The sequence below is a fragment of the Homo sapiens genome, chromosome 22, assembly GCF_000001405.40.
Source record: "Homo sapiens chromosome 22, GRCh38.p14 Primary Assembly".
NCBI classification, from domain to species: Eukaryota; Metazoa; Chordata; class Mammalia; order Primates; family Hominidae; genus Homo; species Homo sapiens.
In genome coordinates, this window is record NC_000022.11 from 16,990,904 (window position 1) to 17,016,116 (window position 25,213).

The 25,213-nt window shown below is 44.9% G+C and overlaps 1 protein-coding gene and 1 pseudogene across 10 annotated transcripts in view; one reads left to right on the forward strand and one right to left on the reverse strand.

Annotated features, from left to right (window-relative positions):
• The window catches only part of GAB4 (GRB2 associated binding protein family member 4), a 46,287-nt gene extending 28,968 nt beyond the window's left edge, over positions 1-17,319 (reverse strand). For 8 of the 10 annotated variants that reach the window (NR_159481.1, XR_951190.3, XR_951191.3 and 5 more), the window contains exons 1-2: positions 17,038-17,319; positions 970-1,273 (exon numbers count right to left, since the gene is read on the reverse strand). Coding sequence is in view for 6 of the 10 variants with exons in the window: in NM_001366857.1 (NP_001353786.1) it covers positions 970-1,273; positions 17,038-17,211 (478 nt within the window). In the remaining 4 variants the exon portion in view is untranslated. Of the gene's footprint in view, positions 1-969; positions 1,274-17,037 lie in introns of those variants that run through there. The other 2 variants (XM_047441117.1, XM_011546117.2) reach the window with 2 other exon arrangements.
• IL9RP6 (IL9R pseudogene 6) lies at positions 21,501-22,029 on the forward strand (annotated as a pseudogene).

Genomic DNA, 25,213 nt, shown 5'->3' on the forward strand with positions numbered 1-25,213 from the left:
TTCTCACGAGAATGTGCAGGTCTAACAAGTTCCCAGGTGATGCTGATGCTGATGAGCTGAGAATGGTTTTTACATTTTCAAAGGATTGTAACATTAAAAAAAATAGGAATATAAAATAGAGACTATCTGTGGCCTTCAAAATCTAAAATATTTACAGGAAGTATCTGCTGAGCCCTGGACCCTTGCTACTCAAAATGAAGCTTTACTTTTTCAATTTTATCCTCCCAAAAAAAGTGGGAAAGAGTGGAGCTTCCAAAAGACACTAATGCCTGGGTCCACCACCCAAGAGATTCCTGGGTAACTCACTTGGCACAGGTCCTTGGCATCAACATTTTACAAATGTCCCTCCTTAATTCTGATGTGCAACCAGGTTCAAGAATGGCCAATTTAGACCATATATCTGCCTCAGGAAAAAAAAAAAAAAAGCCTGCTGCTCCTCAACCTTACTGGTGAGTAGAGGATGAGCCTGAACAAATGTGAAGGAGCATTTCTGCAACTTACAACTCATTTTAAAAAGCTGAACTACTCTTTTGTGAAGGTTATTAAAACCCAAGCATAAGTCTGTATTTGCTCCTCTCACCTGTCCCCTCCTAAGTGATTATAAATCAGTAAGAATCAAAAAGCAACCCCAAACAAACCCACCAAGGGTCAAGTGCAACTGTGCCAGGTGGTCTGAAGTAGGGCCAGAACAGCCAGAGATGGATCAGTAGAAGGCGAAGGAGAGGTCTTCCCTACAGGTGGCTGAGAGGTGACAGGGCAAAGTGCAGAGAGCTCAGGGAAGGGGGAGAGGTGGAGGACTGAGGATGGTAGTGGTATCGAGGTGTCTGAAGAAACACCAAAAATGCCTTTAGCTTCATCACGAGCCCAACACTTCTTGGCAGTGTTGGCAGCTAGAGCTGCCCTCCTTGCTGGAGATTGGAGGGCCTCATCTCAGCCCCTCCTGAGACAGGGCTGTGTGTGCTCCCATACCTGTGCTTTCCTCCTGCCTGAAGCCACAGATCTGACAGATGCTCTGGACCCACTCATTCATGTCCTCCCTGGTCTCAGCCACCAGGTAAAAGGTACGCTCACTGGTCTTGATGTCAAACATATAGCCCTTCTGAATCTCCTTCTTGTTGAAGTTCAGAGTCACATCAACATCCAGCTGCTCACAGAGGTTCAGGTTGATGGTGCGCAGGGGCTTCTTGGAGCCATCATTCTTGTAGTATTCCAGAACATCTGGGTCACTGCTAGTCTGGCCCCTCCGCAGGATAAACCAGCGTTTCCTCCAGGCCTAAGGAAGGAGTAAGAAGAGGGGAAGCATGCATTTGTTATTACAAAGCTTTTAACAGGTCTGAGACATCACTAAGTTAAGGATGGGACTCGGACCTGCACTCAGCCTATGTCTCCCTTTCGGATTTCCCCAGTTTCAAAGGTGGAGAGTGACTTTGAATGCATTTTACTGCAGCATCTCACTATGTCAACAGAGTCTCATCACTACAAAATAAGATGTGCATTTCCACACTTTAGAGCAGGAGGTTGGGTGAGGACACTTTATAGCAACAATTTCATTAGCCTAGAACACTGACCTCAATGCATAGCACTTTTAGACAGAGTAGAACTCTCAAAGCCACAACACCTTAGTTTATAGATGGGGACCTCCACTAAGCATGGTGAGTTGAAGCAACAATGTCAGAAGCAGAAGCAGTAGCAGTAAACAAGTAGCAGAAAAACATGTTTCCCAACTTTTAGTAAAATGTGCTTTTTACCATATCATGATGCTTTAGAAGAGTCACAGAGAAACCCTTCTAAAACTTCTCTGAAGCACAGGACTTCAGGATGCTTCTTTTTTAAGGGACACAGTCTTACTCTGTCACTCAGGCTGGAGTGCAATGGTGGCACAGTCACAGCTCACTGCAGCCTCTAATTCCTGAGCTTAGGTAATCATCCCACTTCAGCCTCCTAAGTAGCTGGGACTAGAGCATACACCACCATACCTAGCTAATTCTTTAATATATTTTTTTGCAGAGATGGGGTCTCACTATGTTGCCTAGGCTCATCTTCAACTCCTGGCCTCATATGATCCTCCTGCTTCCGCCTCCCAAAGCACTGAGAGACCTTTTTTCTATCTTGTTCACTGCTATATCCCTAGTACTTATAATAGTATTACTGATCAGATAAACTCCTTATACTGCTCCATCCCATAGAATTGAATGCATTATTACATTTTGTCTTAGGCTGTCTTCTACCTTCCACCTCTTCAACAAGACTGAGTGATCCATGAGCAGACACCACACACAGGGATAAAAGACTACCCATGGTAGAGAACTGTGGATGAGTCTATGCTTCTCCACTGACTCCAGGTGTGACTTTCCAGTAAGCCATTTACCTCTTTGGAGCTTGTCTCGGCTATTGGAATCACCACCACCACCACCTGCCCTAAGTACCTCATAGTTTTATTATGCAAACAAACTCGAACCACTTGCTATACAACCCTGAAGGACTACAGATGCCAAGCATTGGGTTATTATCACAACTCTTTAGAACCCAAGAGAGTCCTACACTCTAGGACTCCTACCACCTTTTCCCACTCACCTTTTACCCCTGTTATTTTCCCCCTTATCAAACTTCCTTTCCATGGCTCTATTATAATCATACCTTTGCTTCTTTCTCCATTCCTCTTATTTATCTGGCAAAACCACAGCCCCTGGCTAAGCCTAATGCTTTGCCTACTCCACCTGTTCCCATTCAGCTGTGAACAGCTGGAGAGAAATACACAACCATGCTGCCTGGTCTCACTGTAACTTCAAGGGGCCCTCATGTGGCCCAATGTCCTACCATATTTACCTAGTTCATGGTTTTCTCCTAGTGTTTTGCAACAATTTCTCAACTTCTCTCCCTTTAAACCTCCAACACCCTTATTTCTTTGTTTCTTATTCCATGAGAAAATATAAGCAATGAAAAGAGAATCTGCACCTGATCCGCCTCCACACCCACCAGCCTGCCTGTGCCTATAGCCCTGGACCTTGTCACTGGGGAACACAGAGAGTTCATCCATTCTAAGGCCAACCTTCTTGCATTTGTGAACACCCTCTCGCTCACAAACGGACATCACTTCAACAGTTCTCCACCTCTACTAGGATCATTCCCATCAAGACACAAATTTCTCCCATCTTAGAAAAAAAAAATTAGAAATTTGGTTTCAGCCTGCATTCTCTTCCAACTATGGCCCAGTTTTTCTACCCTCTTTACCTTAAAACTCTGAAGAGTTTCCTCATTGCTAATCTTCATTTCCTCCTCTCCTGTTTTGTGAAATCACTCTAATCAGGCTGTTCCCCTTCTGCACCACTAAAATGACTCATGGAAGGTCCCAAAGACTTCATTGCTGCTATATCAACTCCTGGGCCTCACTTAATCTCCCAGCATAAACCGTACCCAATAAGCCTTGGATTGAAAAAGATTGAAGACTGAGGCATAGCCAGACAGGATAGAGCTGAGGAACATAAAAATAAGTGCTACTTATTTACAGTCACCTGAAGTATTGCCGAGGCTGCTGCCTTCACGATTCTGTGTGTACATGGTGCAGGTGTTATGTATATACATGTAGTGTGAGCATAGCAGGTGTACTGTTACTACTCTAGCTGGTGTTTACTCTCATATATTGTAAGGGTTTTTATGCTACTGCATTATTTCAATTTTGTGTAAATTATGCAGCCGTATTTCCATATATTAAGTTTATATGTTCACCCTAAATTCTGTGATCTTGCTATATTCACCTAGCTCTGGGAGGGTTTTTTGAAGTAGATTTCTTAGAAGTTCCTGTATATCCAATCATGTCTTTTGAGAATAAAGACAACTTTACTTCATCTTTTACAATCTGTATGACTTCCATTTCTTTTTAATGCTTGTTACACTGACTAGACCCTTTGGTACAACACTGCATAAAAGTCATACGCACAGACATCCTTGCTTTGTTCATGATCTTAGGGTAAAACGTTCAGTATTTTATGATTAAGAATGTTGTTAGCTGTAGGTTTTTCACAGATACGACTAATTTTCTATGGTTTGTTGAAATTTGGTCAAATACTTTTTTGCATCTATTCAGATGAGCAGGTGATTTTTCTTCTTTATTCTCTTAATGTGATGAATTGCACTGGCCTGTTTTTAAACGTTAAGCCAACTTTGCATTCATCCTATAAACGCCTTGGTCATAAAGTGGCAGAGCAAGACTTCAAGCCCAGCAGCCTGGTTTCACGGGCTCTGCTTGTTCTCTCACCAATATTGCTTTACGTGTAGAATTTGGGCTGAGGGTAGAGGAGAGGGAACAGTGATGAGGATGACTCTGCAAAGATAGTTGGGCGGATAATGGAATACGGTTTCCCAAATCTGTAAGCAGATCCTTGAAAGCTGTGGATTGCTCGGCTCCAGTCTTCATCCTCCCAACACTTTCTTCCAGTGCCTGTAATTTACTGGAAATCCTTCTGCATCCATGTTGTGTATCAATATCATTACACTTAAACGTTCTGCCTGTGGCTTTGAAGAGCACAGCGTATCTCCCAGCACAGCACCTGAGCTCTGCTAAGGGACAGACTGCCTCCTCAAGTGGGTCCCTGACCCCTGTCCCTCCTGACTAGGAGACATCTCCCAGCAGGGGTTGACAGACAACTCATACAGGAGAGCTCCAGCTGGCATCTGGCAGGTGCCCCTCTGGGATGACGCTTCCAGAGGAAGGAGCAGGCAGCAATCTTTGCTGTTCTGCAGCCTCCACTGGTGATACACAGGCAAACAGTGTCTGGAGTGGACTTCCAGCAAACTCCAGCAGACCTGCAGAAGAGGAGCCTGTCAGAAGGAAAACTAACAAACAGAAAGCAATAGCACCAACATCAACAAAAAGGACACCCACGCAAAAACCCCATCCAAAGATCACCAACATCAAAGACCAAAAACAGACAAATTCACAAAGATGAGGAAAAACCAGGGCAAAAAGGCTGAAAATTCCAAAATCCAGAATGCCTCTTCTCCAAAAGATCACAACTCCTTGCCAGCAAGAGAACAAAATTGGATGGAGAATGAGTTTGACAAACTGACAGAAGTAGGCTTCAGAAGATGGGTAAAAACAAACTCCTCTGAGCTAAAGGAGCATGGTCTAACCCAATGCAAGGAAGCTAAGAACCTTGATAAATGGTTACAGGAACTGCTAACTAGGATAACCAGTTTAGAGAAGAACATAAATGACTTCATGAAGCCGAAAGAGACAGTACGAGAACCTTGTGAAAAATAAACAAGTATCAATAGCCGAATTGATCAAGCAGAAGACAGGATATCAGAGATTGAAGATTAACTTAATGAAATAAAGCATGAAGACAAGATTAGAGAAAAAAAAACTTAAGGAATGAACAAAGCCTCAAAGAAATATGGGACTATGTGAAAAGGTCAAATCTATGTTTGATTGGTATATGTGAAAATGACAGGGAGAATGGAACCAAATTGGAAAACATTCTTAAGGATATTATCCAGGAGAACTTCCCCAACCAAGCAAGACAAGCCAACATTCAAATTCAAGAAATACAAAGACCACCACCATGATACTCCTCGAGAAAAGCAACCCCAAGACACGTAATTGTCAGATTGACAAAGGTTGAAATGAAGGGAAAAAATGGTAAGGGCAGCCAGAGAGAAAGGTCGGGCTACCCACAAAGAGAAGCCCATCAGACTAAGAGCAGATCTCTCTGCAGAAACCTTACAAGCCAAAAGAGAGTGAGGGCCAATATTCAACATTCTTTTTTATTATTATTATACTTTAAGTTCTATGGTACATGCGCAAAACGTGCAGGTTTGTTACATATGTAAACATGTGCCATGTTGGTGTGCTGCATCCGTTAACTCACCATTTACATTATGTGTATCTCCTAATGATATCCCTCCCCCCTCCCTCCACCCCACAACAGGCCCTGGTGTGTGATGTTCCCCAACCTGTGTCCAAGTGTTCTCATTGTTCAATTCCCACCTATGAGTGAGAACATGCGGTGTTTGGTTTTCTGTCCTTGCAATAGTTTGCTGAGAATGATGGATTCCAGCTTCATCCATGGCCCTACAAAGGACATGAACTCATCATTTTTTATGGCTGCATAGTATTCCATGGTGTATATGTGCCACATTTTCTTCATCCAGTCTGGTTGGTTCCAAGTCTTTGCTATTGTGAATAGTGCCGCAATAAACATACGTGTGCATGTGTCTTTATAGTACAATGATTTATAATCCTTTGGGTATATACCCAGTAATGGGATTGCTGGGTCAAATGGTATTTCTAGTTCTAGATCCTTGAGGAGTCGCCACACTGTCTTCCACAATGGTTGAAATAGTTTACACTCCCACCAACAGTGTAAAAGCCTTCCTATTTCTCCACATCCTCTCCAGCACCTGTTGTTTCCTGACTTTTTAATGACTGCCATTCTAACTGGTATGAGATGGTATCTCCTTGTGGTTTTGATTTGCATTTCTCTGATGGCCAGTGATGATGAGCATTTTTTCATGTGTCTGTTGGCTGCATAAATGTCTTCTTCTGATAAGTGTCTGTTCATATCCTTTGCCCACTTTTTGATGGTGTTGATTTTTTCTTGTAAATTTGTTTAAGTTCTTTGTAGATTCTGGATATTAGCCCTTTGTCAGATGGGTAGATTGTAAAAATTTTCTCCCATTCTGTAGGTTGCCTGTTCACTCTGATGGTAGTTTCTCTTGCTGTGCAGAAGTTCTTTAGTTTAATTAGATCCCATTTGGCTATTTTGGCTTTTGTTGTCATTACTTTGGTGTTTTAATTATGAAGTCCTTGCCCTTGCCCATGCCTATGTCCTGAATGGGATTGCCTAGGTTTTCTTCTAGGGTTTTTATGGTTTTAGGTCTAACATTTAAGTTTTTAATCCATCTTGAATTAATTTTTGTATAAGGTACAAGGAAGGGATCCAGTTTCAGCTTTCTACATATGGCTAGCCAGTTTTCCCAGCACCATTTATTAAATAGGGAATCCTTTCCCCATTTCTTGTTTTTCTCAGGTTTGTCAAAGATCAGATGGTTGTAAATGTGTGGTATTATTTCTGAGGGCTCTGTTCTGTTCCATTGGTCTATATCTCTGTTTTGGTACCAGTACCATGCTGTTTTGTTTACTGTAGCCTTGTAGTATAGTTTGAAGTCAGGTAGCGTGATGCCTCCAGCTTTGTTCTTTTGGCTTAGGATTGTCTTAGCAATGCAGCTCTTTTTTGGTTCCATATGAACTTTAAAGTAGTTTTTTCCAATTCTGTGAAGAAAGTCATTGGTAGCTTGATGGGGATGGCACTGAATCTATAAATTACCTTGGGCAGTGTGGCCATTTTCACAATATTGATTCTTCCTACCCATGAGCATGGAATGTTCTTCCATTTGTTTGTGTCCTCTTTTATTTTGCTGAGCAGTGTTCTGTAGTTCTCCTGGAAGAGGTCCTTCCTATCCCTTGTAAGTTGGATTCCTAGGTATTTTATTCTCTTTGAAGCAATTGTGAATGGGAGTTCACTCTTGATTTGGCTCTCTGTTTGTCTGTTATTGGTGTAGAGGAATGCTTGTGATTTTTGCACATTGATTTTGTATCCTAAGACTTGGCTGAAGTTGCTTATCAGCTTAAGGAGATTTTGGGCTGAGACGATGGGGTTTTCTAAATATACAGTTATGTCATCTGCAAACAGGGACAATTTGATTTCCTCTTTTTCTAATTGAATACCCTTTATTTCTTTCTCTTGCCTGACTGTGCTGGCCAGAACTTCCAATGCTATGTTGAATAGGAGTGGTGAGAGAGGGCATCCCTGTCTTGTGCCAGTTTTCAAAGGGAATGCTTCCAGTTTTTGCCCATTCAGTATGATATTGGCTGTCGGTTTGTCATAAATAGCTCTTATTAATTTGAGATACATCCCATCTAGTTCATTGAGAGTTTTTAGCATGAAGGGCTGTTGAATTTTGTCGAAGGCCTTTTCTGCATCTATTGAGATAATCACGTGGTTTTTGTCTCTGGTTCTCTTTACATGATGGATTACATTTATTGATGTGTGTATGTTGAACCAGCCTTGCATCCCAGGGATGAAGCCAACTTGATCGTGGTGAATAAGCGTTTTGATCTGCTGCTGGGTTCGGTTTGCCACTATTTTATTGAGCATTTTTGCATTGATGTTCATCAGGGATATTGGTCTAAAATTCTCTTTTTTTGTTGTGTCTCTGCCAGGCTTTGGTAACAGGATGATGTTGGCTTCATAAAACGAATTAGGGAGGATTCCCTCTTTTTCTATTGATTGGAATAGTTTCAGAAGGAATGGTACCAGCTCCTCTTGGTACCTCTGATAGAATTCGGCTGTGAATCCATCTGGTCCTGGACTTTCTTTGGTTGGTAGGCTATTAACTATAGCCTCAATTTCAGAACCTGTTATTGGTCTATTCAGGGATTCAACTTCTTCCTGGTTTAGTCTTGGGAGGGTGCATGTGTCCAGGAATTTATCCATTTCTTCTAGATTTTCTAGTTTATTTGCATAAAGGTGTTTATAGTATTCTCTGGTGGTAGTTTGTATTTCTGTGGGATTGGTGGTGATATCCCCTTTATCACTTTTTATTGCATCTATTTGATTCTTCTCTCTTTTCTTCTTTATTAGTCTTGCTAGAGGTCTTTCAATTCTGTTGATCTTTTCAAAAAACCAGCTCCTGGATTAATTGATTTTTTGAAGGGTTTTTGGTGTCTCTATCTCCTTCAGTTCTGCTCTGATCTTAGTCATTTCTTGCCTTCTGCTAGCTTTGGAATGTGTTTGCTCTTGCTTGTCTAGTTCTTTTAATTGTGATATTAGGGTGTTGATTTTAGATCTTTCCTGCTTTCTCTTGTGGGCATTTAGTGCTATAAATTTCCCTCTACACACTGCTTTGAATGTGTCCCAGAGCTTCTGGTATGTTGTGCCTTTGTTCTCATTGGTTTCAAAGAACATCTTTATTTCTGCCTTCTTTTTGTTATGTACCCAGTAGTCACTCAGGAGCAGGTTGTTCAGTTTCCATATAGTTGAGCGGGTTTGAGTGAGTTTCTTAATCCTGAGTACTAGTTTGATTGCACTGTGGTCTGAGACATGGTTTGTTATCATTTCTGTTTTTCTACATTGGCTGAGGAGTGCTTTACTTCCAACGATGTGGTCAATTTTGGAATAAGTGTGATGTGGTGCTTAGAAGAGTGTATATTCTGTTGATTTGGGGTGGAGAGTTCTGTAGATGTCTATTAGGTCTGCTTGGCGTAGAGCTGAGTTCAATTCCTGGATACCTTTGTTAATTTTCTGTCTTGTTGATCTGTCTAATGTTGACAGTGGGGTGTTAAAGTCTCCAATTATTATTGTGTGGGAGTCTAAGTCTCTTTCTAGGTCTCTAAGTATAGGCTTTATGAATCTGGGTGCTCCTGTATTGGGTGCATGTATATTTAGGATAGTTAGCTCTTCTTGTTGAATTGATCCCTTTACCATTATGTAATGGCCTTGTCTCTTTTGATCTTTGTTGGTTTAAAGTCTGTTTTATCAGAGACTAGGATTGCAACCCCTGCTTTTTTTTTGTTTTCTATTTGCTTCGTAGATCTTCCTCCATCCCTTTATTTTGAGCCTATGTGTGTCTCTGCACGTGAGATGGGTCTCCTGAAAACAGCACACTGATGGGTCTTGACTCTTTATCCAATTTGCCAGTCTGTGTCTTTTAATTGGAGCATTTAGCCCATTTACGTTTAAGGTTAATATTGTTATGTGTGAATTTGATCCTGTCATTATGATGTTAGCTGGTTATTTTGCTCGTTAGTTGATGCAGTTTCTTCCTAGCATCAAGGGTCTTTACAATTTGGGATGTTTTTGCAGTGGCTGTGCAAAGGTTGTCCTTTCCATGTTTAGTGCTTCCTTCAGGAGCTCTTGTAAGGAAGGCCTGGTGGTGACAAAATCACTCAGCATTTTTTTGTCTGTAAAGGATTTTATTTCTCCTTCACTTATGAAGCTTAGTTTGGCTGGATATGAAATTCTGGGTTGAAAATTCTTTTCTTTAAGAATGTTGAATATTGGCCTCCACTCTCTTCTGGCTTGTAGAGTTTCAGCCGAGAGATCAGCTGTTAGTCTGATGGGCTTCCCTTTGTGGGTAATCTGACCTTTCTCTCTGGCTGACTTCAACATTTTTTCTTTCATTTCAACTTTGGTGAATCTGACAATTATGTGTCTTGGAGTTGCTCTTCTCGAAGATTATCTTTGCAGCATTCTCTGTATTTCCTGAATTTGAATTTTGGCCTGCCTTGCTAGGTTGGGGAAATTCTCCTGGATAATATCCTGCAGAGTGTTTTCCAACTTGGTTCCATTCTGCCCGTCACTTTCAGGTACACCAATCAGACGTAGATTTGGTCTTTTCACATAGTCCCATGTTTCTTGGATGCTTTGTTTGTTTCTTTTTACTCTTTTTTCTCTAAACTTCTCTTCTCGCTTCATTTCATTCATTTGATCTTCAATCACTGATGCCTTCTTCCTCTTGATCAAATTGGCTACTGAAGCTTGTGCATGTGTCATGTAGTTCTCGTGCCATGATTTTCAGCTCCATCAGGTCATTTAAGGACTTCTCTATACTGTTTATTCTAGTTAGCTATTTGCATAATCTTTTTTCAAGATTTTTAGCTTCTTTGCGATGGGTTCAAATATCCTCCTTTAGCTCGGAGAAGTTCATTATTACTGATCGTCTGAAGCCTTCTTCTGTCAACTCGTCAAAGTCATTCTCTGTCCAGCTTTGCTCCGTTGCTGTAGATGAGCTGCTTTCCTTCGGAGGAGAAGAGGCGCTCTGATTTTCAGAATTTTCAGCTTTTCCCTGCCCCTAGAGGTGGAGTCTACAGAGGCAGGTAGGCCTCCTTGAACTGAGGTGGATTCTACCCAGTTCGAGCTTCCAGGCCACTTTGTTTACCTACTCAAGCCTCAGCAATGGTGGGTGCCCCTCCCTCAGCCTGGCTGCAGCCTCGCAGTTTGATCTCAGACTGCTGTGCTAGCAGTGAGCGAGACTCCATGGGCATGGGACCCCCCGAGCCAGGTGTGGGATATATTCTCCTGGTGTGCTGTTTGTTAGGGCCATTGGAAAAGTGCAGTATTAGGGTGGGAGTGTCCCGATTTTCCAGGTACCATCTGTTATGGCTTCCCTTTGCCAGGAAAGGGAATTCCCTGACCCCTTGTGCTTCCCGGGTGAGGCAATGCCCCACCCTGCTCCGTGGGCTGCACCCACTGTCTGACAAGCCCCTGTGAGATGAACCCAGTGCCTCAGTTGGAAATGCAGAAATAACCCATCTTCTGCATTGCTCATGCTGGGAGCTGTAGACTGGAGCTGTTCCTATTTGGCCATCTTGGAACCTCCGTTTTCAACATTCTTAAAGAAAAGAATTTTCAACCCATAATTTCATATCCAGCCAAACAAAGGTTCATAAGCGAAGGAGAAATAAAATCCTTTACAGACCAGCAAATGCTAAGGGATTCTGTCACCACCAGGCCTGCCTTACAAGAGCTCCTGAGGAAGCACTAAATATGCAAAGGAAAAACTGGTACCAGCAACTGCAAAAACATACCAAAATGTAAAGACCACCGACAGGATGAAGATACTGCACCAACAGGCAAAATAACCAGCTAGCATCATAATGACAGGATCAAATTCACACATAACAATATTAACCTTATGTTCTCACTCATAGGTGGGAATTGAACAATGAGAACACATGGTCACAGGAAGGGGAACATCACACACTGGGGCCTGTTGTTGGGGGCGAGGGGGGAGGGATAGCATTAGGAGATATACCTAATGTTAAATGACGAGTTAATGGGTGCAGCACACCAACATGGCACACGTATACATATGTAACAGACCTGTACATTGTGCACACGTACCCAAAAACTTAAAGTATAATTTAAAAAAATTAACCTTAAATGTAAATGGGCTAAATGCCCCAATTAAAAGACACAGACTGGCAAATTGGATAGAGTCAAGATGCATCAGTATGCTGTATTCAGGAGACCCATCTGATGTGCAAAGACACACATAGGCTCAAAATAAAGGGATGGAAGAATATTTACCAAGCAAATGGAAACCAAAAGAAAGCAGGGTTTGCACTCCTAGTCTCTGATAAAACACACTTTAAACCAACAAACATCAAAAACGAAAAGAAGGGCATTAAATAATGGTAAAGGGATCAATGCAACAAGAAGAGCTAACTACCCTAAATATATATGCACCCAAGACAGGGGCACCCAGATTCATAAGCAAGTTCTTAGTGACCTAGAAAGAGACTTAGACTCCCACACAGTAATAGTGGGAGACTTTAACACCCCACTGTCAATATTAGGCAGATTAACAAGACAGAAATGAAACAAGGATATTCAGAACCTGAACTCAGCTCTGGACCAAGTGGACCTAATAGACATCTACAGAGCTCCCCACCCCAAATCAACAGAATATACATTCTTCTGAGCACCACATAGCACTCACTTATTCTAAAATTGACTACAAAATTGGAAGTAAAACACTCCTCAGCAAATGTAAATGAATGGAAATCTTAACAGTTTCTTAGACCCCAGTACAATCAAATTAGAACTCAGGATTAAGAAACTCACTCAAAAATGCACAACTACATGGAAACTGAAAAACCTGCTCCTGAATGATTACTGGGTAAATAACAAAATCAAGGAAGAAATAAAGATTTTTTTTAAACCAATGAAAACAAAGACACAATGTACCACAATCTCTGGGACACAGCTAAAGCAGTGTTTAGAGGGAAATGTATAGCACTAAATGCCCACAAGAGAAAGCAGGAAAGATCTAAAATTGACACCCTAACATCAAAATTAAAAGAACTAGAGAAGCAAGAGCAAACAAATTCAAAAGCTAGCAGAACACAAACTAAGATCAGAGCAGAGCTAAAGGAGATAGAGACACAAAAAAACCCTTCAAAAAATCAGTAAGTTTAGGAGCTGTTTTTTAAAAAATTAGATAGACCGCTAGCCAGACTAATAAAGAATCAAATAGACACAACAAAGAAGAATCAAATAGACACAACAAAAAATGATAGAGGGGTATCACCGCTGATCCCACAGAAATACAAACTACCATCAGAGAATACTATAAACACCTCTATGCAAATAAACTAGGAAATTCATAAGAAATGGATAAATTCCTGGACACATACACCCTCCCAAGACTAAACCAGGAAGAAGTCAAATCTCTGAATAAACCAATAATAAATTCTGAAATTGAAGCAATAATTAATAGCCTATCAACAACAACAAGAAAAGCCCAGGACCAGACCGATTCACAGCCGATTTCTACCAGAGGTACAAAAACGAGCTGGTACCATTCCTTCTGAAACTATTCCAAACAATGCAAAAAGAGGGACTCCTCCCTAACTCATTTTATGAGGCCAGCATCATCCTGATACAAAACCCTAGCAGAGACACAACAAAAAAATAAAATTTCAGGCCAATATCCCTAATGAACATCAATGCAAAAACCCTCAATAAAATACTGGCAAACCGAACCCAGGCACATCAAAAAGCTTATCAATCACGATCAAGTCGACTTCATTCCTGGGATGCAAGGCTGGTTCAACATATGCAAATCAATAAACGTAATCCATCACACAAAAAGAACCAATGACAAAAACCACATGATTATCTCAATAGATGCAGAAAAGGCCTTCCATAAAATTCAACACCCCGTTCGTGCTAAAAACTCTCAATAAACTAAGTATTGATGGAACGTATCTCAAAATAATAAGTTATTTATGACAAACAATCAATAAACGTAATCCGTCACATAAAAAGAACCAATGACAAAAACCACATGATTATCTCAATAGATGCAGAACAGGCCTTCGATAAAATTCAACACCCCTTCGTGCTAAAAACTCTCAATTAACTAAGTATTGATGGAACATATCTCAAAATAATACGTTATTTATGACAAACCCACAGCTAATATCATACTGAATGGGCAAAAGCTAGAAGGATTCCCTTTGAAAACCGGCACAAGACAAGGATGCCCTCTCTCACCACTCCTATTCAACATAGTATTGGAAGTTCTGGCCAGGACAATCAGGCAAGAGAAAGAAATAAACGGTATTCAAACAGGAAGAGAGGAAGTTAAATTGTCTCTGTTTGCAGATGACATGATTGTATATTTAGAAAACCCCATCATCTCAGCCCAAAAACTCCTGAAGCTGGTAAGCAACTTCAGTAAAGTCTCAGGATACAAAATCCATGTGCAAAAATCACAAGCATTCCTATACACCAATAATAGACAAATAGAGAGCCAAATCATGAGTGAACTCCCATTCACAATTGCTACCAAAAGAATAAAATACCTAGGAATACAACCTACAAGAGATGTGAAGGACTTCTTCAAGAAGAACTACAAACCACTGCTCAAGGAAATAAGAGAGGACACAAACAAATGGAAGAACATTCCATGCTCATGGATAGGAAGAATCAATATTGTGAAAACGGCCATACTGCCCAAAGTAATTTACAGATTCATTGCTATTCCAATCAAGCTACCATTGACTTTCTTCACAGAATTAGAAAAATCCACTTTAAATTTCACATGTAACCAAAAAAGAGCCCGTATAGCCAAGACAATCCTAAGCAAAAATAACAAAGCTGGAAGCATCACACTACCTGACTTCAAACTGTACTACAAGGTTACAGTAACCAAAACATGTTACTGGTACCAAGACAGATATATAGACCAATGGAGCAGAACAGAGGCCTCAGAAATAACACCACACATCTACAACCATCTGATCTTTGACAAACCTGACAAAAACTAGCAATGGGGAAAGGATTCCCTATTTAATAAATGGTGTTGGGAAAACTGGCTAGCCATGGGCAGAAAACTGAAAGTGGACCCCTTCCTTATATCTTATACAAAAATTAACTCAGTTCTGAAGGAGGTCGGGGTCAAGATGGATTAAAGACTTAAACGTAAGACCTAAAACCATAGAAACCTTAGAAGAAAACCTAGGCAATATCATCCAGGACATAGGCATGGGCAAAGACTTCATAACTAAAACATGAAAAGCAATGGTAACAAAAGCCAAAATTGACAAATGGGATCTATTTAAACTAAAGAGCTTCTGCATAGCAAAAGAAACTATCATCAGCGTGAACAGGCAACCTACCGAATGGCAGAAATTTTTTCCAATCTATCCATCTGACAAAGGGCTAATATCCAGAATGTATAAGGAATTTAAACAAATTTACAAGAAAAAAACAACAACACTATCAAGAAGTGGGCAAAGGATATGAACAGACACTTAACAGAAGAAGATATTTATGTGGCCAACAAACATGAAAAAATGCTCATCATCACTGGTCATTAGAGAAATGCAACGAGATACCATCTCACGCCAGTTAGAATGGCCATCATTAAAAAGTCAGGAAACAACAGATGCTGGAGAAGATGTGGAGAAATAGGAATGTTTTTACACTGTTGGTTGGAGTGTAAATTAGTTCAACTATTGTCAAAGACAGTGTGGCGACTCCTCAAGGATCAAGAACTAGAAATACCATTTGACCCAGCCATCCCATTACTGGGTATATACCCAAAGGATTACAAATCATTCTACTATAAAGACAAGTGCACCCGTATGTTTATTGCAGCACTATTCACGACAGCAAAGACTTGGAACCAACCCAAATGCCCATCAATAATAGACTGGATAAAGAAAATATGGCACATATACACTATGGAATATTATGCAGCCATAAAAAAGAATGAGTTCATGTTCTTTACAGGGACATGGATGAAGCTGGAAATCATCATTCTCAGCAAACTTACACTGGAACAGAAAACCAAACACCGCCATGTTCTCACTCATAAGTGGCAGCTGAACAATGAGAACATATGGGCACAGGGACGGGAGCATTACACAATGTGGCCTATTGGGGTTGGGGGGCAAGGGAAGGGATAGCATTACGAGAAATACCTAATGTAGATGATGGGTTGATGGGTGCAGCAAACCACCATGACACGTGTATATGTATGTAACAAACCTCCACGTTCTGCACATGTATCCCAGAACTTAAAGTATAATAAAAAATTGAAAAAAGAAATGGAGAAAGACAAGAACGCAGAATTGATCATACCCCATACCTCAGGGAAGCAGAGGAAAGGGAAGATGACTATAGGATCAGCTTATTCTGGAATAGATTCTTGAAGGGCTGGACCTGGGGCTAAGGAACAGGAGAGAAAAGCCTCTTCTATGTACCTTGGTATAATCATAGTGACTCCTAACAATTACCGCTTCCTCAGTAAAATTGTTGAAATTTAGAACAACACTCTTCAAATTAGCCACTAGGGGAAAGGGCAACCAATCTTCTTTTTTTCTAAATCGTTTAACCACATGAATTAATATATAGAAAACTACACTGCAGTGCACACTGTCCCTCAGCAGGCGTGGTGGCATGGAAGGACGCGAACGACCCCGGGAGTGGCGGGTGAGGAGGGAAGGGGAGCGAGCGGGTGCGAGGTGCCCGCGTTTTCCTGGGGCCCGGGAGGGAAAGGGAGAGGGTGTGAGGTGCCTGCCTTCTCGGGGCTTGGGAGGGAAGGTGAGCAGGTTTAAGGCGCCTGCCTTCCTTGGGGCCTGGGAGGGAAGGAGAGAGGGTGCGAGGTGCCCGCCATTCTCAGGGCCTGGGAGGGAAGGGGAGCGGGTGCGAGGTTCCTGCCGTTTTGCGAGGCTGCGGAGCCTGCTGTGTCCCCTTTCCCGCCCACTCTCCGACCTGCAGGCCCACGGCGCTCAAGGTAATAGGGTCCCCAGCCCTGGAATCAACTCCCTGGGTCTCGGAACGCAACCCACACAAACCTGGACCCTGTCTCTCACTGGCGGGGAGTCGCCTTCGCATGCAGACGTGGAGAAGTCGCCTCCACCCGCAGCTCCTCCCGTGGACCCAGGCCGCCTCCCCCACGCCCCTCCCGGAGTCCCCAGACCCTCCGTGGCGCTCCTGGTACCGCCCCCACTGCCCCACTCACAAAGAGCCTCAGCTTCTTCTCGGGGGGCGACTTCCTCAGCCAGCCGCTGTACAGCACGTGGCCACTTCTCGTGCTTCCGCCGGCGGGGCCACTTCCGGGCCACGAAGACAAAGGCGCAAATGCCGGGTCAGGTGGGCACAGCTCCCGGGAGGGTGAGGGGGACGGCAGGGACATGGGGGCTGCAGCTCACAGTGAAGGTGGGGGAGACAGGGCGAGAGGGCGTTGCTGGAGGTGGGGTGTGAGGGACGGCTTGCGATACCCTGGGACTGCGGGGTAGAAAGCGCAGTTCTAGGGGAGGTCGGGGTCAGAGGTGAAGCTCGTGGGGAGGGCGAGACCCGGGCGCAGGTGCTCACAGGCGAGGGCGGGGTTCAGGTTCCAGCTGGGCTTTGAGTTCCGGTTCAGGCTTCCATCTGTGGTTCCGGTTCCAATTTGAGGTGGAGTTTGGGATTAAAGTTTAGACGAGGCCTCTCGTTCAGGGTTTGCGTTGGGGATTGGGGTGGGGATTTGCACCCTGGGTCAGCCTGGGTGCATCTCATCGGGACCACCGGGGCGGGGGACATGGGCCGGGTGGCTCCTTGGGAGAAGAGGGACAGGGAGCGCAGCTGGTGGAGAGGACAAGAACGAGGGGCGCAGCTCATTCAGAGGGCCACAACAGAGTCTCAGGTGCTGAGTCCCATGCGCCAGATGAGGAAAGACAATGGAAGAGTTCAGGTTCCTGCTGGGGTTTGAGTTCCAGTTCGGGATTCGGCCCATGGTTTACCTTCTGACTTGAGTTGGGGTTTGGGGTCAAGGTTCAGGCTAGGACTTGAGTTCCGGGTTGCAGTTTGGGGGTGGGGTTAGGTTTCAGAGTGAGGGTTTGGGCCTGTTTGTGTTGTGTATGTTTGTGAATGTATTGGGATGTCACCGTGTGTACTTATGTCACGTGTGTGCACGCATCAGTGTGTGCATGTGTGAGTGTTCATTGAGTGTGGCACTGACAGCCAACCCCTCTCCTCCCATTTATGCCCCACTGTCTTATCCTGGTTGGGGTGGGCTTTACAAGTTCCTTCCCTGGGCCAGTTGGAGGTTCTCATGTTGCCTGGGGAGAGAAGGGAAGGAGAGAACAGGTCAAAGATGAGGGCAGCTTGGCCTCAACCAGACCCGGTGTCACGGGGACCAAGAAGCCGGAGGTCCTTGTCTCCTGCCTCTGGAGGAGCTTGGTTTGCTTCTTTGTTCACACATTGTGTGAAAGCACAGTTGGGGGCATCTGATATGCACAGGATCTGTTCTTGCCTCTGCAGATGTCTTAGAGAACAGGACAGACAAGGGGCCTCTTCAGTAAGCCATCCCCAATGTGCACTGCATGTCAGCTTACAAGAGGGGCACAGGGGCCCCATCAGGTAGCAGGGAGGATGCAAGGAAGAGTGTGTGGGGATGGGGGTGCTGGGTGGGGCCAGGTGAGTGGGTGCCTGGCTTCTCCTCAGAGCAAAGGAAAGTGCTGAAGAGTGTGAAACTGTGTGACATGTTATGCTTTATGTTTTGAGAATGGATTGCAGGAACAAGCAGACATGGGGGACCTGATGAGGGCCAATGGGATGTCCATAGAGATAAGATTTGGCTTGAGCTGGTGGGAAAAGTGGAGATGGAGCCACATGGAGGAAATTGCAGAGTCTTGAGACTGAGGAGACATGTGGGTGGATGAGATATGAGTAGTGACCCGACCCTGAGGTGGGGAATGGGGGGACAGCCCCGAGGGGAGGTTGGTGAGGTGTATTTGGACCTATTGGGTTGGAGCCCTAGGCAGCATCCTCATGGGAGGACCACTGGGTCCTGGTCAGGCAGACATGGTGCTCAGGGAGACACTGGATGAGGTGGGAGCCATAGACCCTCTGCTGATGGCAAGAATGGGGTTCCTGGAGGTGCTGGCTCCCTCTGCAGGCTGCAGTCATGGCGAGTCAATTCTAAACTCACCATCACAGCTCACACTGTAAAGGACACATACCTTAGTATAAATCAGTTAGCCAACGAGGCCACAGGGTACCCAGTTGGATCCTGCCCTGAGATGAGAGTAGGTTTGGATGGGGTGAGACGGGAGAGAGGCAGTGGCAGGAATGAGGCAGATAAGGTCTTCCTGGATGGAAGGGAGCTCAGCCCCTGCAGTGACCTCGTACCGACTGGGGCCTCAGCAGGAGCCCCGACCTGGGTCCCCGTGGGCCTCTGACTGTCTTCTCCTGGCCTCAGGGTGGAAAGAACCCTCTTCCAGAATATGTCCTCTCCAGCAACATTCTTCCAGCCCCCTACAGTGCGCACAATGGGAACTTCAGGAGAGTGCAGAGACTGCCACAGGGCATGGAAGGCAGGTGTTGCCCCAAGGTCTAGCCTGCCCAGGATGTTGGCTTTGATGACGGTTGGGGGCCACTGTGGGCGACTTATGAGTGTTCTGAGCCTTTTTGTGTGTGTATACAGTGAATTTAAATTTATCCTCTGTGTCTCAAGTGGACAAAAAAAAACCACTTTATTTTCCATTGATGATTTATTTTTCTTGTGTCTTCCATTCCATGGTTGATGGAAAATATATATAAGTTTCTCATAACTTATCTCTGTTTCCTCTGCTTTGCAGCTATCCGTGCCCACCATGGGTCTCACCTCCTCCTTCTGTGAGTGTCTGTCCGGTGGCTGTCGGGGAGGGTCTCCAGCACTTGTGCTGCCCCTGGGACCCTCACTGACCCTGGGCTCCTGGTCTGCCCACCCCTTCGATTCCCCTGGAGTCACACATTGGCACCAGAGTCAGGAATGGGCTCTGCATTTCCCCCTCTGTGGGCCTCGTCTGGCTCCCACAGCCCATGTATCAGCGAACTACTTGGGGGTCACATAGGACCCTCCCCTCCCTGCTGAGCTGGCAGTTCATGCCCCGTGGGTAGGAGGAAGGGCAGAGGGAGAGCTCCAGGGGTGGGCTCCAGTGTGCTCCCTCAGGCTTCTCACTTTGGGCAAAGGACACAGGGCATGAGGGCCTCTCCCTGCGGTCTGGACCAAGCTGACCTGGGTCTTTACCAGTCAGGAAAATAAAATAACTTTTATCTGAGAAATGCAAGTGCTTTAATTATCAGGCCCAGAAAGAGGCATTAAAATGAGACCACAGTCATGTCCTACTCCCTCACATTGAGCTGTGTATTCATTTCTTGATACTGCTGTTGCCAGAAGTAGCTATGAATTTACCTCATAATGCCACACCAGACGCCATACCCCACACCCTATAGCTTAACAGTGTACGGCCCATCACTAAGCAGTGTTATTGCTATGAACCAACTAAAATTCCTGAGGAATTGTATCTGCCCCTTCCCTGCCCACCTTGTTTTGCCTTTAAAAATCAGCTCATAACTGCTGCTAATTGCAGTGTATATTCAGGATAACTTGAATCTATGCTCCAGAGTTGCAATCCTGAAGTTTGTCTCAAATAAACTCTCTACTAAGATTAACTTTGTCTCAGCTTCTTCCTTGTAGGGTGACACCAGGATCTCCTTTCCTGGTGCTGCAGGGCTTCCCTGGACCCTGTGCAGCAGAGATATCCCCTCCACACAGTATTGCCAGCATATTATGTAGAAAAATCATTTTCCCTTTCAACAGGAAGCCCAGTTCTTAGGATTGTTGTTCAAAAATATAATTTAAAGCTTAAAACTGAGCACTTGGGTCTTGGCAGATTTCCCATCTTTCCTCACAGTGGCAAATGTGACTGTCAAGAGCCTGGGCAGCTGAGGACAAGTCTGAGCGGGGCAGAGGTTGTGATCGTACCCTGGCCTGTGTCATCCCCTTGCAGACACCAGCCCTTCTCTATAGAACCAGGGCATCTGCCAGGGATTATTTAGGCCTTGGGTGAGGGTCTGGCAGGGAGCAGTGCAGTGATGGAGGGTGTGGTGTGTGTGTGGCGTGTTGGATGGATACTTCTGGTCCCACCTAGGGAAGAGCTTCCTTTTGGAAGCAGAGGTCTCCTGTGTCCCCACAGAAGGATTCAGGTCTGCTGGCCTTTCCCAAGCACCTTGAAAGTCACCAGTCTTCGTGTCACCTGTCCGTCATGCTATGTGTGTGTGAGAGAGAGAGACAGAGAAAATTGTTCAGGTGGGGGTACCCAGTCTCTGTAGCTGCTGAAAGGCCCTGGGACACATGCTGCATGCTGCCAAGTGTTTGTTTTTTCCTCAGCACATGTCACCATCTGTACCCTGGTGCAGGCTGCTGTGAGCACCAGGCTCTGTGCTAGGGGAGCAGTGAGGGGACTTGAAGAGACTCAGGGTCCCATGTTGAGGCTGAGCTGGCACATAGTAAGGAAGACAGAATGCTCCTGGCACAGGTGCTGCTTGGCCTCTGGGTGTGGACATCAGGAGGGCTTCTTGGAGGAGGAGGGAGGGCTTGCTGAGGAGGAGGCTGCCACTCCCAGGGTGAGTTCTGATCATGCTGCCTGATCCCTTTCCTCATCCCATACTCTGCTTCTAACCTGGATGGGGGCCCACAGGGCCAGCGTGCAGCTGAGCCAGGACTGTGCCAGCACCTCGCAAGGAGCCTTGGAATTCAGTGTGCGAGAGGCCACTGCAGTACTCACCTGTGACTCAGCATGTCCCTGGAAATCTGTCAGCCTGGAGGAGAGCAGGAGGGCATGGGGACACCTCCTAGGGGCCCCAAGTTTGGAGGATATGCTGCCAGCAGAGTGTGAGGAGTGAGAGGCACCGCTGCCTGCCTACCTGCCACTGGAGGACCAGGCCCCTACATCCCCGACAAGCCTGCTCACCGAGACTGAGTGGGGTAGCAGTGGCTACTATGCCTTGGGCTGCTCTGGAGGGATGCAACCCTTCAGCCCTCTCAGGAAGCACATGGAGCCCTGAACCCATCCCAGCCCTGCCCCATGGCCTGTCACATGACCACTGGGGCTTGGAGACCTAGCGAGGAGGTACCTGGGCGGTGAATGGTCCAAGCTAGAGGCATGGGCTGCACAGGGACATCCAGGGCCCACAATCCCCTCCTGTCTTCACCATGGCTCAGTCCTGAAATTTCTAGGGCCCAGACACAGCCACCTGCATCGTGTCCATCTTAGGGAAGATGGACAAAAGTCTCTGGAGCTGGCCCTTGGCTGGGACAGGACCTCCTGAGAAGGGGCCTCTAGCAGTGGTCAGAAGTCCTGCCTGGATGGAGGCTGGAAGCTCCTCCTTGCCCGACCTGCTCAGCACCTGTGGGGAGGGGCCTCTGCCCTCAGCATCCTGCCCACAGCACCACATTCTCCTGTCCCCTTTCTGGCTTTATCTATAGCCACTCTGAGAAAAGAGGTGTAGTCTCCCAGCCTGTTCTGCTCTTACCCCTTAAAGGGCCAGCATGGGGCCAGTGGACACAGGTGAGACACCATAACCTGGAAGTGGTGACCTCTCCATGCCTTCCTGAGGCACCTTTCGTAGATATTAAAAGGTGCATAATGGCTTTTCCAAAGTGCTGATGCCTGGGAGGAGAGACCAAGGGAGGGGTGGAGTTTGGCCAGGCCTGGTGGGCTTTCTAGGCTCCAAGAACAGCAGGGTGCAGACTCAAACCAGCTCCAAGATAGTAGGGTGGAACATCAATGACAGCTCTGGGGACAGCGGAGTGGAGGCGCAAGGACAACTGCAGACAGTGGGTTGGAGGCTCACATGATCCAGCACTTCCCTTCTGGGTGTCTACACAAAGAAATTCAAAGCAGAGTCAAAGAAGTATTTGTACATCTATGGTCATAGCAGAATTATTCACTAATAGCTTAAATGTGGAGACAACTCTAATGTCCATGACAGATGAATGGATATGTGGTCTATACACATAATGGAATATTCTTCATTTCTCAAAAGGAAGGTAATTCTGACAAATAATATTAAAATAACCCTGAAGATATTAGAGTAAGTGAAATAAGTCAGAAAAGACAAATACCATAGATTCTGCTGTTATAAGGTCCCAAGAATAGTCAAATGCATACAGACAGAAAGTAGAATGGTGCTTGCCTGGGGCTGGGTGGAAGGGAGAACAGAGAGCTATTGTTTAATGACAGAGGGTTTCAGTTTTACAAGTTGAAAAGAATTCTGGAGATGGATGGTGGTAATGGTTGCACAACCATATGAATGTTAATATTACTGAACTGTTCACTTAAGCAAGGTTAAACTACTATAGTTTATGTTATGTGTATTTTAACACAATTTTAAAAATTGGAAAATAAAACACCTAGAGCCATGATCTCTAAGGCCGTATGTGTTCTGCCCCTATTACTCCTCACTCACTCCATTCCAGCTCCACTGGCCTTTTTCTGGCTCCTCAGACATGCCAAGCACTCCCTGCCTCGGGGCCTTTGCAGTGTCTGTTGCCCTCACGTGGAATGCTCTTCCCACAGATCTCTCTATGACTCTCTCTCTCTCACTTGCTCTGCTCTAATGTCTCTTTTTCAGTGAGGCCTTTCCTGATCACCCTACAGAAAAGCACCCAGCAATATTCTCTATTCCTTTTCCTTGCCTTGTCTTGGTAGCACTTGCTCCTTGCTGACATATAGAAAAAATATGTGTTTATGCAATGGTGAATATGATGACCACAGATTTTTCCCCAGCCCTGTTCTAGGCAGAGACTGGGAAATGGGTCATTCCTGTCCCCTATTCCAATTCTCTCCTTCTATAATGGCTTATTTTTCCTTTTTAATGTTCTAACCTAATGTTGAGCAATTTCAGTTGATTTTTTCATAAGCTGGAAGGTCCATGAAATCTGTTTCTATGGCCATTATTTTCTCAAACACTGCAGTGTCTTTTTTCAGTGTTTTCCATATATAATGATATTCCTAGGAATATCTCCTTGGCCTTCCTATCTAAATTCACCCAATGTGGTGTTCTTCATATTTCAAGTGAATTCAATACTGCCTTCATAATTGTTGGCCCCTTTAAACTTTTATTGTCCCTGATAGGTAGGTGCTCATCTTATTGGTTAAATGATTTCGGCAATTTCCCTTTTTAATTATTTTTATTTTTATTTTGAGACAGGGTCTCAGTCTGTTGCCCAGGCTGGAGTGCAGTGACATGATCTCAGCTCACTGCAGCCTCGACATCCCAGGCTCAAGCAATCTTCCCACCTCAGCCTCCCAAGTAGTTGGGATTACAGACATGTGCCACAGCACTCCACTAATTTTTTTCTATTTTTTTCTATTTTTGTAGAGACAGGATCTTGTTATGTTTCCCAGACTGGTCTGTAACTCATACACTCAAGTAATCAGCCCATCTGGGTCTCCCAATGTGCTGGGATTACAGGCCCAGCCTAAAATGTCTTTTTGATAGAGTGATTTTGAAGATTAAGCAGGCTAGTGGGTCAAGCACGTAGTACAACATTTGAAGCCCAAAGGCAGGGAGTGTGAGCCCCAGGTGGTGGTGGCGGGGATGAAAGGAGAAGCAGGAGGCAATGGGGAACGAGACACTTGAGACTGGAACTCAGGGCTCTTCAGAGAGAGAAGCTTTCAGGTCCTGGAGAAGGGGTGAGACCCATGCGAGTCCCCTGGATGCTCAAAAGGAAGGGCCAGGTTTCCCTGACACAGTGGGCTCCGTGGTCTCCTCCCCTCCTTTTCACCTCAGGAGGGAGGGAAAGAGGGGAAGAGAAGGTCCTGCAGAGGAGGCAGGATGGCCGGTTGAGGGGGGCCTTGGGCGCTTTTTCCCAAGGGCTGCCTCCTGTGGCAGCCCCAGGGGCTTCCTTGAACAAGAACTCCCTGCTCTCCCGCTGAGAGCCAGGGTGGGTCCTCTGTCCCTCACCATGAAGTTCAATGAGTATTGGAGAGTCCGCATGAGGCGAAGGGGCTTCAGCCCAACCGCTGGTCCCTGCTGCACTCACTCTTCAAGAAGGACCACCAGCTGCCTGATGGTGAGCATGGAGCAGGTCTGAGTGGACCAGACTAGGGCCAAGAAACACACCAAAATTGAAACACAAAGAAATACAAAACATGAACAGACCAATAACAAATAATGAGATCAAAGCTGTAATAAAAAGTCTCCCAGTAAAGAAAAGCCCCAATATTCTATGGCTTCACTACTGAATTCTAACAAGCATTTAAAGAACTAACACCAATCCTACTGAAACTATTCCACAAAATAGAGATGGGGAATACTTCCAAACTCATTCTATAACACCAGAATTACCTTTATACCAAAATCAAAGACACTTTAAAAAAAGAAAA